The sequence below is a fragment of the Homo sapiens genome, chromosome 1 (assembly GCF_000001405.40).
Source record: "Homo sapiens chromosome 1, GRCh38.p14 Primary Assembly".
Taxonomy (NCBI): domain Eukaryota; kingdom Metazoa; phylum Chordata; class Mammalia; order Primates; family Hominidae; genus Homo; species Homo sapiens.
The window spans coordinates 20,588,450-20,603,438 of record NC_000001.11 but is presented as its reverse complement, the minus strand read 5'-3'; the positions used below and the strand labels follow the sequence as shown (position 1 = coordinate 20,603,438).

The window sequence follows — 14,989 nt, the reverse complement described above, 5'->3', positions numbered from 1 at the left end:
TGGGACACTTTTGACTGCGTGGCCAAGGGAATGGAGGAGCAGCAAGGAGAGAGAAGGAATTTGGAAACCTGGTCAACTCATGGGGCAGAGTTGCCCGTTTGCCTGGGGCCTACTCTGAATTGTTGTGTGAGAGAAAAAGAGAATTCCACCATGTTTATATCACTGCATCTTGGAATCTGTTTGTTATAGTAGCATAACCTATGTCTAATACAGACATTTGTGCTGAAGGTGAGATGCAACTTGAACAAAAAAAATCTAAAGTATGTGACATTGGCTTAGTGGTTGAGCAACGCAAAGGAGAAAACACAGATGAGGCAAGATGGCCAGATGGTGACTCCTCCTAGTCTGTTATTTGGTAAAGCTCCACCTGCAATAACCAGGAAGGCAGGCCGTGGTACCCACCACTGAAATTTCTCTCCCTGGCAATGGGAATCAGCCCTGTGGCAAAGATGTGATGTGTCATCTGCCCACACAGCCTGTTGTTTCAGGCACCACAATAGCCAGCATTAAGATGGGGCAGCAGGAATGGGCCAGGCATGGGAGCCAGTTAGGAAAATGCCAGAGTTGGCAGGCTTCAGAACCATGTCCAGAAGGGATCTCTGGGTGTGGCATTTCTGTATGGAAATAATTGGAAGCAAATAGATCAGGATGTTTCCAACTTTTGATAGAATTGGATCGCCAAAGAAGCCACAAGCCTGGCCTATAAAAACACATGATGAGGCTGGGCATGGTGGCTCAAGCCTATAATCCCAGCACTTTGGGAGGCCAAAGCGGGCGGATCACAAGGTCAGGAGTTTGAGATCAGCCTGGCCAATATGGTGAAACCCTGTCTACTAAAAATACAAAAATTAGCCTGGCATGGTGGCAGCCACCTGTAGTCCCAGCTACTCAGTAGTCTGAGGCAGAAGAATTGCTTGAACCTGGGAGGCAGAGGTTGCAGTGAGCCGAGATCATGCCACTGCGCTCCAGCCTGGGCGACAGAGTGAGACTCCATTTCAAAACACAACGAAAAAAAAAAAACCATGATGTGGGTGTGATGATGTGTGTCAGTTTGAACATGCAGATGAGGACACAACTCTAGGGATGGTGGGACATCTAGACAGAAGGAATCTGGTCTCCAGGACAACTTTGCAGGACAGAGAAACACATCTCCTATGCTGTGGACTCCAGCCCGCCCCTGGTCTGTTAGATGAGGGAAATAAGCCACCACATCTTGTTTGAGTCACTGTATACTTATTGATTTCATCAACTTAGCCTTCCCTCCCCTCCCCTCCCCTCCCCTCCCCTCCTTTCTCCTCCTCTCCCCTCTCCTTTCTTTTTGACAGGATCTTACTCTGTTGCCCAGGCTGGTGTGCAGTGGCATGATCATAGCTCACTGTAACCTCAAAGTCTTGGGCTCCACTGATCTTCTCATCCTAACCTACCAAGTAGTTGGTACCACAGGTATACATCACCACACCTGGCTAATTTTTTGTATTTTTTTGTAGAGATGGGGTTGCCCAGGCCAGTCTCAAACTCTTGGGCTCAAGTGATCCACCTACCTTGGCCTCTCAAGGTGCTGGGATTATAGGTGTGAGCCACGGTGCCCAGCCTACACCTCCTTTTATAAGTCCAAGTCTTCATTGTGATTATGCAGTATTTTGTTCCGTGTTGATCACATTTGGGAATTATTTGGTCATTATCTTCTTGTATATTTTTCCTCACATATTTTCTGGTCCCTTCATTATTTACATTGGCATGTTAGGAGTGATTAGTCATTTAACTCGTTCTCAGGATCGCAGGCATTCATGTCCAGAGTTGACGGATGTCATTAGACACTACTGGGTGCCACAGCTGCAGGTCCCTTGTCAGGGTGAGGGTGAATGTGGTCACAGTGGTGCATGGGATGGCTGTATGGTGTTAGATGGGGGCTGGTTTGGAATTCTACTTTGGGGAAGAAAACAGGCTTGTATACTGAGCACCAAAGGGTAGACTATAGTGAGCATCTACTGTTTTGACAACTTAACACCTCTTACATTTTTTCCCCTGAGGAATGACTCTTACTTTATTCCCCAGCATGTAGTTCAAATGGGAGCTGCCATCTTGTCTCCTATGACCTTGCTATGGGCATAAAGATGAACACCTGACTCAAACTGGCCAATCAGAGTTCATCTCTGTGTGGGAACTTCAGTTTCTCTCTTGAGACACTGAGTGTGGGCCGCCATGTTTCCATTCATTATGGAAGAGACCAATGAGAGAGGCTGAAATGGACACTCAGAAGAATGGATGAGAGAAGAGAGATGGAAAGAAAGGAGTCTGGCCAGTGCCAGTTGCCCCTGAGGTCTGGCTACACTCCAGGTCTTCCCACGGTTTAGTTATAGGAATCCATACATCCTCCTTTTGTCTAAAATAGTTCATGTGTATTTTTATCATTTGAAACCATACAGAGATCAGTTAATACAGTTGGAATATGGGGCAGGGTACAATCAGGAAGTTGCAACCCTGAGAGCTTTTGTTTATTTAAATGTTAGTTATTATAGCTGAGATAACTGGCCCCTTATTGCTCAGTCTCTCTGCTGAGTCAATGAAAGTTGAATGTATAAATGAATAATGCCTCTTGCTCCCCACCTTGTCTCCCCAGCCAGGTTCCTGATCCTCACCTGAAATGACTTTCTTTTTCTTCTCTTTTCTTTTTTTTTTTTTTTTGAGACAGAGTCTCACTCTGTCATGCAGGTTGGAGTGTAGTGGCACAATCTCAGCTCACTGCAATCTCCACCTCCTGGGTTCAAGTGATTCTCATCTCAGCCTCCCTAATAGCTGGGATTACAGGTGTGCATCACCATGCCTGGCTAATTTTTTAATTTTTAGTGAAGATGGGGTTTCACCATGTTGTTCAGGCTGGTCTTGAACTCCTGACCTCAAGTGATCCGCCCAGCTCGGCCTCCCAAAATCTTGGGATTACAGGTGTGAGCTAAGATGCCCAGCCCCTGAAAATGACTTTCTTTAAACACCACTCTCACCTGCCATATCTGCTCACCACTCCCACCTTCACTGACATCCCTACACTTGGTTTCTGCCTCTCTCCCAGATTACAGTCCCTGCCAGCCTCACTCCCAGCCTAGTGACTCTCCCAGCCCCGCCCTTCCAGCTTCCCTGCCCGATCCCTGACTAAAGTCTGACACTTTTCCCATCAAAAGTGATGCATGCAGATCTTGGGTTTTGCTGACATGCCGTTAAAGCACATTTCCACACTTGCAGAAGACCCAGTCTCTCAGGATGGTCACATGTGTCTGCTCTGGAAGTTCAGAAAGGCCTCAGAGACAGAAATCTTCCTTTACTTTGTGTAAAACATGTAATAGGCCAGTTAATGAGAAAGAAAGATGGTTGTGGCAGGGGGCACACTCACATGCCCCACTACTCAAACAGCACCCTGTAGAAAGAGGTTCCATTAGGTTTCATTCTGCCCTGGGACTCTTTGCCCAACTGGCTCTGAGAATTGGGGAAAGGGACTGAACCTCTTTGAGGCTCACTGGCTTCATTTGTAAATCGCTAATGATAGAATCTCCCTCATAGTCCTGTTGTGAGAATAAATTGAGATCACTCGTGTAAAGCACTTAACACAAAGCCTGGCACAGAGGAAATGGTCGGCAGCTGTTAGCTGCTGCTGTTATCAATTGCATAAAAATCAAGGCTTTGGTGGCAGTAGGGCTATGTGACCCTCTGCACCTTCTCAACAAGGTATGACAGTGGTCCTGTCCCTGTCCTTCAGGCACTTTGAAATCCTTTATTTTTATTTTATTTTATTTTGTTTTATTTTATTTTATTTTATTTTATTTTATTTTGGAGACGGAGTCTTGCTCTGTCGCCCAGGCTGGAGTGCAGTGGCGTAATTTCGGCTCACTGCAACCTCTGCCTCCTGGGTTCAGGCGATTCTCCTGCCTCAGCCTCCCAAGTAGGTAGGACTACAGGTGCGTGCCACCACGCCCGGCTAATTTTTGTATTTTTGGTAGAGATGGGGTTTCACCATATTGGTCAGGCTGGTCTTGAACTCCTGACCTTGTGATCCACCCGCCTCAGCCTCCCAAAGTGCTGGGATTACAGGTGTGAGCCACCACGCCTGGCCTGAAATCCTTCTTATGACTACAAGGTCATATGTGATCTGGTGCCAAGGTCATATGTGATCTGGTGCTACCTCTTGGCTCGCATCTCCTTTTGTTCTCTAGACCTGTTGTCCTTCCAGCTGCTCCCCTCAGGGCACCAGTATGCTCCTGCCACAGGGCCTTTGCACAAGCTGTTCCCATTGCCTGGAACTCTCTTTCCCTTTTGCGCACTATTCACCCTACTCAGGGCTCTGCTCAAATGTCACCTTCTCAGAGACGCTTTCTCCGATCACCTATCTAAAATGGCTTCCTCCCACTACTGCCTCCAACTCTCTGTATCCATTTCTCCTGCTTTAATTTTCTTCATAGCACTTAACAGTCTCCTGAAATAAATGTCTTTATTATCTAATTCCTCCTATTATATTACAAACTTTCTGAGGGCAGAGATTTTGTCTCTAACATGTGTTGTGGTATGTCCTGGGCCTGGAACAGTGAAGTCATGGGGCTCTCAGTTTCTCTTATGGATTGAATGTTTGTGTCTCCCTAAAATTCTTCTGTTGAAGTCCTAACCCTCAACGCTATACTATTAGGAGGTGGGGCATTTGTGAGATAACCAGGTTTAGATTAGGTCGTGAGGGGGCAGCCCCCATGATGGGATTAGTGCTATTATAAGAAGAAGAAGAGACTCTTAAACTCTCTCTCTCCATCCTGTCAGGGCATAGTGAGAAAATGGCCAAGTCAGAAAGAGGGCCCTCGCCAAGAACTGAATCTTGGACTTCCCAGCCTCCAGAACTGTGAGAAATAAATGTCTGCTGTTTAAACCACTAGTCTATGGTATTTTGTTATAGCAGCCTGTTTTAGTCCGTTTTGTGCTGCTGTAACGTAATATCCCAGACTAGGTAATTTATAAAGGACAGAAATTTATTTGTCATAATTCTGAAGGCTTGGAAGTCCAAGGTCAAGCTGTTGGCAAGTTGGTGTCTAGTGAGGACCCAGTCTCAGCTTCCAAGATGGCGCCTTGAACATTGCATCCTCTGGAGGGGAGGAACACTATTCCTCATGTGGCAGGAGAGTGAAAGAGAGAGAATCCATACTGTAAGCCCTTTTTATAGCGGTATTCATCCACTCACCGGGCAGAGCCCTCATGACCTAAACACCTCTTATTAGGTCCCACCTCCCAACACTGTTGCATTGGCAATTAAACATAGCGAGACCCTGTCTCTAAAAGTGTATATAAATAATAAATTTGAAAAGAGAAGCCCTCCAAAGTACGCTTATGCATTTTGGAGGGGGCAAACCTTCAAACCACAGCATGGCCTGAGCTAAGATGGCTAACCATTATTGAAAGAGTGGAATTTTCCACTTCAGTTCTAGATGCTTAAGACGCAGAGGAATAACTGTATTTGGAGCCTGTAACAAATTCAAGTAATTTCCTTGAATTTTCTAGCTCAAAAAAAAAAAAAAAGGCAAATAAAAAAAAAGGAAGGAAGCCTTTGCCCACGTACTGCATCCTGAAATGCTGTGCAATTTTGTTTTGCTTCTCTCAGCCCAGAAAGCAGGCTGTCTTCTGACCAGGCAAACCAATTCTGTTTCTGCTATTGCCTTTGCTTACTTCAAAACATACATGAGAGAGATTGGGATGGTGCTAAGTTAGAAATCCATAATAATAAGATAGGACCAAATAATACTACGATCATAGTGCCAGTATTACTAATTGCTTTCTTTTACTGGGCACTCATAGGCCAGGCACTCTGTGGAGTGCTTTACCTGCATAAGGTCAGTTAATCCTTTTAACTGTTGGGTAAGGTAAATACTGTTAGAACACCATTTTACAGAAGGTAAAAGTGAAGGCTGGTGGCAGGAGGCCAAAACATGCATCCTGGCCTGTGAGATACGATGGACTCTTCTTTTTTCTTTTTGAGACGGAGTCTCGCTCTGTCGCCCAGCCTGGAGTGCAGTGTCACGATCCTGGCTCACTGCAAGCTCCGCCTCCCAGGTTCACGCCATTCTCCTGCCTCAGCCTCCCAAGTAGCTGTGATTGCATACCACACCCGGCTAATTTTTTTTGTATTTTTATTAGAGATGGGGTTTCACCATGTTAGCCAGGATGGTCTTGATCTTCTGACCTCATGATCCACCTGCCTTGGCCTCCCAAAGTGCTGGGATTACAGATGTGAGCCACGGCGCCCGGCCAGACTCTTCTTATTCTCTATGGCCTTGCAGGAAGGAAGGCCATGTTTTGAGGTGGTTTGGTGCTTAAGGCAGGGCTGCGGTCAGATGTTATTAAGACATCAGCAAGACTGAGTGTGGTGGCTCACGCCTGTAATCCCAGTACTTTTAGAGGCTGAGGTGGGTGCATTGTTTGAGTCCAGGAGTTCGAGACTAGCCTGGGCAACATGTCAAAACCCAGTCTCTACAAAAAATTTTAAAAATTAGCTAGGCATGGTGGTGCATGCCTGTGATCTCAGCTACTTGGGAGGCTAAGGTGGGAGGATCGCCTGAGCCAGGAAGGTCGAGGCTGCAGTGAGCTGAGATTGTGCCAGTGAACTCCAGACTGGGCAACAGAGTGAGATCCTGTCTCAAAAAAAAAAAAAAAAAAAAAAGACATCAACAGGGAAAGAAGCTCACAATGAGGCTATTTGGGCCCAGCCACCCAGAGAAAAGAATAATGCCAGAAAGCACTGCACCCACTCTCTTTTCTGAGGGATCCTAGCAAGATTAAAGCAGTATTCTCACACTCAAGCAAGTGGGCATCAGAATGTTTTGGAGGGCTTCTCTTTTTAAATTTATTTATTTTTATATTTTTTAGAGACAGGGTCTTGTTATTAGTTGCCCAGCTGGAATTTGAACTCCTGGACTCAAGCAATCCTCCTGCCTTTGCCTCCTGAGTAGAGGGCTTCTTAAAACACACTTGTAAGCCTCTTTCCTGGAGTTTCTGATTCAATAGGTCTGGGCTGGGTTGGAGCTCAAAAATTTCAAATTTTCACAAGTTCCCAGGAGCTGCTGAGGCTGCAGTTCTGGGACCACGTTTGAGAATCACGTGAGGAATGTTCTGTCCATATACTTGAAGAAATACGACACTCTCTCCATGTTCCTAACCTCCTCCCACTGCAAATGCACCATTTCAGGTATGAATTATATTCGAACTCAGCTATTTAGTCGAGGGACTGTAGTAAAGCTTGCCTATGTAATGAGACAATTTTTTTTTTCGAGATGGAGTTTCACTCTTGTTACCCAGGCTGGAGTGCAATGGTGCGATCTCAGCTCACTGCAACCTCCGCCTCCCAGGTTCAAGCGATTCTCCTGCCTCAGCCTCCTGAGCAGCTGGGATTACAGGCGCCTGCCACCACGCCTGGCTAATTTTTGTATTTTTAATAGAGACGAGGTTTCACCATATTGGCCAGGCTGGTCTTGAACTCCTGACCTCAGGTGATCCACCCACCTCAGCCTCCCAAAGTGCTGAGTGAGATTACAGGTATGAGCCACCGTGCCTGGCCTTTTTTTTTTTTTTTTTTTTGAGAGAGTCTTGCTCTGTTGCCCGGGCTGGGCTGGAGTGCAGTGGCGTGCTCACGGCTCATTGCAATCTCCACCACCGGGGCTCAGGCCATCCTTCTGCCTCAGCCTCCCGAGTAGCTGGGACTCTAGGCATGTGCCACCACGCCTGGCTAATTTCTGTATTTTTTGTAGAGATGGGGTTTCACCCTGTTGCCTAGGCTGGTCACAAAATGAGCCACTTTTGAGTGACAGTGGAGAGGACTAACTGAAGTTCCTTGGCAGGGGGAAACAGCGGGAAACGGGGCGTGATGGGAGCTGGGCTGTAAGCTGAAGACCCAGGTTAGAGAAGCTTGCTCTTACCTAGACCAGAGATGCTGTGGTGTTGGGGGGATGGGGCCTGGGGTCCATCAGCTGCTGAAGAGAGGGGCTGGTGTCAGGCACCAAGAAATGCTTCTAGGAAAATGCATCCAGGCAGAGAAAGGGAGACCAGGGACAGAATCAGAACAGCAGGGGGTGGTTTGAGGGAAAATGGAAGACTCAGATTTAAGAATTAAGCCAAGGTAGGCTGGATTCAGTGGTTACTTAACCAAGACATCCTCAAGTGTCTTCTAAAATGTGGTGTGTTCCTCTCAGAATTCACCCCAGCTGGTTGAGTAAAGTGGCTTTTTCCCTAAATGGCAGACGGAGAGGAAAGGAGGAGGAAAGAGGGAGAGAGACCACTGTCCTAAGGTCATGAGCTGAAGAAGATAAACCCTCCCATCCCTTGGGTTGTGCCAGCAGAGTTGGCAGAAACTACAGCCAAGAAGTCTTGTGTCTGGGCACCATCCTGGGACCCTTTCTGGCACTGTCGTGGTCTCATCGCCAGATGCATACTCCCCACGAGCCCAGGGACACCTCGTGCAGTGCCCCTAGGGTTACAGGTGGTCCTTCTCTTCCCTGCCCATCACCCACCCGGCGCTGCACGAACACCGGCTGAGCCTCAGCCATGTGCAAGGCCCGGAGCTGACTCCGTTTCCGTGGACCATTTTCTTTGCTTTCTTTCTTTTCTTTTATCTTTCTTTCTTTTTTTTTTTTTTGAGATGGCGTCTCGCTCTGTCGCCCAGGCTGGAGTGCAGTGGTGTGATCTCGGCTCACTGCAACCTCCACCTCCCAGGTTCAAGCGATTCTCCTGCTTCAGCCTCCTGAATAGCTGGGATTACAGGCACCTACCACCATACCTGGCTAATTTTTTGTATTTTTAGTAGAGATGGGGTTTTACCATGTTGGCCAGGCTGGTCTCGAACTCCTGATCTCAGGTGATCCGCCCAGCTCGGCCTCCAAAAGCACCGGGATTACAGTCATGAGCCACCGCGCCTGGCCCATTTTCTTTGCTTTCTCAATCCTCCTTCTGTGCCATCTCCACTCTCCTCTTTGTGTCCTCACTTTTTTTTTTCCCTTAGCAGCTCTTTCCTCACCAGTGAGCTCCTCTTTCTGTACCTCTCCCTCGGCTCTCCCCACAAGCAGTCACGAATGTTACCAGCCCGAGGTGCATCATGAAAACCTAATTGCTGTAGTTGTTAATCACCATCCTGGGTGGCCCATCTGTGAGGGGCACAAGGCCCTGGCCAGGGTTGGGAGTAACAGAGAGAAAATGATGATCATTATGAAGTCTCGATAGCAAGGCCGTCTTTGCAGCCAGGCCTGCTTTTGAATTGGATGGGACACCAGCTGCCTTGGAGGGGGAAGCCTTCACCTGTGCCGGTCTTGTGTTTAGCTGGAGAAAGTCACAGACCTGGGCAGACCTGTTCTGCCATAAGCTGTAAACTCACAGTGTCTAAACTCAGCTGTGCCGTTTCTGCCTCCTGATCAGCTCTGCTTCACCCCATGAAACCACACCAGGCTTCCTCTGGGTGTCCAGGTGCCCCCTGCTCCAAGCCCCAACTTACTGCATCCACCCCCTATTCTGCACCTGGCCTCACTTCCTACTTCAGTAATGTGTGAATGATAAACAGGCCAGGTGCAGTGGCTCATGCCTGTAATCCCAGTACTGTGTGAGGCCAAGGTGGGAGGATCATTTGAGGTCAGGAGTTCGAGACCAACCTGGGCAACGTAGCAAGACCTCATCGCTATAAAAATAAAAAAGATTAGCTGGGCATGGTGGTACATACCTGTAGTCCCAGCTACTTGGGAGGCTAAGACAGGAGGATAGCTTGAACTCAGGGGTTTGAGACTGCAGTGAACTAGGCTCGCGCCACTGTACTTCCAGCATGGGCAGCAGAGAGACCCTGCCTTTAAAACAAAAACAAAAACAAAAGAATGGAAACCAGAGACTGCTTGCACTCATGTTCCCTGATGCCCAGAAAAAGCCCACCTGCAGGACAAGAGAAAGAGACCTGCACCCAGAAGGATAAAGAAGGATGTGGTGATGTTTGTGTTCCTGGATCCAGCTACCCTGAGACAAGCACTACCCTTGCCCGCTCTGGTTCTGGTTGCTTTCTGACGTTGACCATAGGAAGTACTCTGATTAGTGCATGTGAAACTCATTGTCCCCCATCATGAGGTGGCTGTGATATTACAGGAGGTCATCTAAATGAAGTCCTTAGTGAGCTCACTCCATTGTAGCTTCGAATACTGCTGCTGGTCCCTGCCCAGCACGTCCCCAGCACACAGTCCAGCCATGCCTTCAATGCCTCACCTCAGTCAGTGCCTCATCATCATTCACCTGGGCCACCTGGCTGGCGATCCTAAAGCCATGTGCCTTTACTTTATTTCTTATTTTGTTTTTTATTTTTTGAGACAGGGTCTCATTCTGTCGCCCAGCTGATGTACAGTGGTGTGATTACAGCTCACTGCAGCCTCGAACTCCTGGGGCTCAAGTGATCCCTCCATCTCAGCTTCCCAAGTGTCTGGGACCACAGATGCACGCCACCACATCCAGCTCATTTTTGTACTTTTTGTAGACACGACGTCTTGCCATGTTGTCCAGGCTGGTCTCGAACTCCTGGACTCAAGGGATCCTCCAGCCTCATCCTCCCAAAGCACTGGGATTACTGGCATGAGCCACCGCACCCAGCCTTTATTTGTAACACTGCCCATGCCAGGCCCGGTCCATGTGTCCCACACAATATCTCTCGGATCATTCCTTTCTCTTCATTCTACCTGTCCCAGTCCTAGTAGAAGCCTTTCATTCATGTGTTCAACAAACCTTACAGAGGCCCAGTGATAGGCCAGGAAGTGTGCTGACACTGCAGACAGGTCAGTGAGTGGAGCAGATACTGTACCCTGACACTGTTCCTCTGTCCCCGCCCTTGCTGAGCACCTGTCACACTAAATGTCATCACACACCACTTTTATGTTACTCTTCTTCTTAATAACATTCCTTGGCTCCCTACTTCCTACCTCTTCAAATCTTAGTGTCTCTGTTTGGCCTCCAAAAGTCCTCCACAATCTGCCTCCAGATAATAAGAATAATGATAGCATTAATAGTGGTAGCAGAAGCAGCTATCATTTGTGACCTTCTTATTACGAGGCAGAAAATGCGCTGAATGCTTTATAAGCATTTACTCATTTAAAGCCTCACAACCAGGGGTGAAATTCTACATACTCAGCGCAGGCACCAACCGATCAGAGTGAATGCTGCCTGCCATGCCGTGTCGTGCCAGGCATACCAGCATACCAGCTGAATCTGGTTCTGTTCACAGTCATCCTGAAAGGTGGGTTTTATGATCCCTGGCTTAAAATGTGTGAGCTGGCTGGGTGCGGTGGCTCATGCCTGTAATCCCAGCACTTTGGGAGGCTGAGGCGGGTGGATCACCTCAGAGTTCGAGACCAGATTAGCCAACATGATGAAACCCTGTCTCTACTAAAAGTACAAAAATTAGCCAGGTGTGTAGCGGGTGCCTGTAATCCCAGCTACTCTGAGGCTGAGGCAGGAGAATCGCTTGAACCTGGGCGTCGGAGATTGCAGTGAGCCGAGATCGCGCCACTGCACTCCAGCCTGGGTGACAGAGTGAGACTCCATCTCAAAAAAAAAAAACAAAAAAAAACCCATAAATAAATAAAATGTATGAGCTGACACTCAGAAAGGTGAAGGGTCTCACCCAGAGTCACACAGTTGATAAACACCAGCCTTCCAACCCAGGAACCTCTGACTCTGAAGCCTCCATTTCACTCTCTAAATCCCCATCACACAACCCTTTCTCTGGTGACACCAGGTCTTTCCCTGCAATGCAAATGGGCCACAGTCCTGTTTATCTCCTCCATTCCTTCCTTCCACTGGATGAGGCTCGAGCCTTCAGTCATCACCTATGCAATATGAGGGGACTGCCATGGGGGCAGGGATTGTGTCATCCCTGTTCACTGTGATATCCCCAGCACCTGGCACCTTACCTGGAACAGAGTTGATGTTCAGCAAATATCTGTTGAATGATCAGTATGAGGGTGACAGAGGTGTGGACTTCACTGGAAGGAGCTCCCAGGTGTCACTTATGAGTGAAAGTGTGCCTCCTTTATTGTGGGTTTGTTTTTTTTTGTTTGTTTGTTTTTGAGACAGAGTCTCGCTCTGTCGCCCAGGCTGGAGTGCAGTGGCACGATCTCGGCTCTCTGCAAGCTCCGCCTCCCAGGTTCACACCATTCTCCTGCCTCAGCCTCCCGAGTAGCTGGGACTACAGGCACCCATCACCACGCCCGGCTATTTTTTTTTGTATTTTTAGTAGAGATGGAGTTTCACCGTGTTAGCCAGGATGGTCTCGATCTCCTGACATCGTGATCCGCCTGCCTCGGCCTCCCAAAGTGCTGGGGTTACAGGCGTGAGCCACCATGCCCGACTATTGTGGGTTTTAAAACAAGAAAGGACCCAAGCATTCTGGCATGGGGGTCCCCTGGCTCTGGAGGCACGATGAGGCTGTCTGACCTCCTGCTGTTCCAAGCAGAACACCAGTTCCAGTGCTGGAAAGCATGGATGGAAGGCAGCCATGCTGGCCCCACAGGCCAGGAAATGCTGTGGCCGAACATGCTGAGCCCCCATCACCACCACCTGCCCCACCATCCCTCTTCCTTCTGCTTCTCCAAACGTACTCATCTCATTCATTCATCCAATCAGTCACTCAACAGTTATTGAGTGCCTGTTCTGAGCCAGGCAGGTGCTACGTCACAGCACGAGAAAGTCAATGGCACAAAGATTCAAGACACAGCTCCTGCCCTCTGCAGCACAAAGTCCCAAGGGAGAGGCAGATACATAAGTGGACAGTGATGACACCATGTGATAAGCACGGCAGGAGGGGTCAGTGTGGGTGCCGGGGGATTGTAGGAGGGCCCTTTCTGTGCCATCTGGAAAGGATGTGGAGGCTTTCGAAAGAATCAAGGGCTGATTTCCACATTCAAGATTCTGCAATGTTGTGAGTTGCAATGGTGTTTGCGGTGGTGGTGAATGTTTGTTGTTTGTGGTGGTGGTTAATGTTTAATATTCACCTCAGCCACCAAAACAGGTCTGAATTTCAACACGGTACTCAGAGATCCTTCACTCCCCACAGAGCAACAGCTTTTGGAGTCAGGGGAAGTCTGGGTTCCAATCCCAGCTCTGTGATTTTGAGCTCTGAAACTTTCCAAACCTGTTTCCTTCTCTGCCTTTCAGGGTTGCAGGGGTTAAATGGATAGCATTAATCACCTTCCTTTCACAGGCTGTTAGCACTCAATCAAACCTGCTTCTCCCACTCAAAGATGTTTAAGACCCAGGCAAGTCACACCCGACAGAACCTCAACAGACAGGGAATAATACCAAGGGGTACCTCCACACCATGTCCCCTACTGCCCTGAAGGAGAATGCCTCTAAGCTTAGCAAAAACAAGCTTGAATTTTTGCTCACATGAACTTTTCTACAAAAGCAATAAATCAAAGAAAAGAGTTTAGGAACAGATTAGAGCAGACTCAGATGGGCTCAGGTTCCATTACCCGCCCCCGCCCCGCAGGGCGCTGCTCACTGCTGGACTCCGAAAGCCCAGCTGGCTTTTCTCCTCCAAGATTCTCCACCGACCACCCCCGACAAACACGTCACCACCCTGGCCAGCACTGAGCACAGTGGGTGGAAGGAAGAGAGCAGGGCTTTGGGGAACCTCCAGCCCAGGGTTTCACCACCAGCGCCCCGTGTGACCTTGGGCAAGTCATGTCACCTCTCGAGACCTCCGTAGTTTCATCTAAAGACGAGCATTAACACTTAGGTCAGTGGGCAGGAGGTGTGGACTTAGTGTTGTGGAAGCCTCAGTAAGGTGCCAGACATATCCGAGGCTGGGAAAGCACGAACGCTCTCCCTGCCTGCACCCCAGGACTGTTGATGTTTTTGATTTATGGCCTCCCCTTCCTGCCTCCCATCCAACTTCCTTCCTCATCCCAGTCCTCTAAGCATTGAAAGACCCTGGATTTAAGCCACATTTGAGCGCGGTCTGGGGCAGTCGGCAGGGTAGGAACATTCCAGCGGAGACTGGGGGAAGAAGGGACAGAGCCGCGCTCTTGCCACTGCCTGTGCCTCTGCGCCTCTTCCTGTACATCTTCCTCTGACCCACCACCCAGGCTGCTGGGCTGGGGGACCCTGGGGTGCCCACCTTTACCTTTGAAGATTCTCCCCTCCTGGGTGAGCAGGGCAGCCCCCACAGGAAAGTGACTGTAGGGGCAGTAGGCTGACTTCTTGGCCTCCTGGGAGCAAACCAGCAGCTGCTGGACACACTCAGGCTTCAGGGTGCAGGCAGGACGCTTCTGGGCCATGTTGGTACCCCGGGCAGGCAGCAGAGCAGCGGGAAACAGGAGCTCCGGCCAGCCTGGGCTGGGGCCCCAGACACGATTGCAGCTCCTCCCCTTGGGTGTGTCCCTGCAGCCAGACCGCAGGCTCTCAGGTACGCAGCTTTCAGGATGCAGGGTCTAGGAGAGGAGCCTCCCATGGTTTGGACTCAGCAGGTGTGGTGTAAGACAGTGCCTACGTGTGCTTCACACTCTCCCTTAGGAACCACTCTCACTGGTGGACACACTGAGGGGTGGGTCAGAAGGTGGTGCCACGCTACTGGAAGGGGAAGCTACTGGGTGGGGCAGTGTGAGATCTCAAAGGTCCAAGCTCCAAGGGCTGACAGTCCTCACTTTGTTAAATCACTTTTTCTCTCCTTCACTGAGGGAAGGGCTGAGGCTGAAAGGGCAGGGCTGGGGCAGCCACTGCGGCATCCCGAGGCAGGAGGCATGAACAAGCTGCAGTATAACTGAGAACTTCTTTATTTTCACCCATTTTCCTTCCAACTTCTCTTTGCCCTAGCCCAGAATTAAAAAGTGTCTCAGCTGCTGGGTGTGGTGGCTCACTTTAGGAGGCTGAGGCAGGAGGACTGCTTGAGCCCAGGAGTTTGAGAACAGCCTTGGCAATATGGCAAAACCCTGTTTCTACAAAAAATACAAAAATTAGC

At 49.0% G+C, this 14,989-nt stretch overlaps 1 protein-coding gene across 1 annotated transcript in view; it reads right to left on the bottom strand.

Moving 5' to 3' along the window:
• The window catches only part of CDA (cytidine deaminase), a 29,807-nt gene extending 15,465 nt beyond the window's left edge, over positions 1-14,342 (bottom strand). The window contains exon 1 of the mRNA NM_001785.3: positions 14,156-14,342. Within this exon, the coding sequence (NP_001776.1) occupies positions 14,156-14,309 (154 nt within the window). The 5' untranslated portion in view covers positions 14,310-14,342. The remainder of the gene's footprint in view (positions 1-14,155) is intronic.
• Between the last annotated feature and the right edge of the window lie 647 nt (positions 14,343-14,989).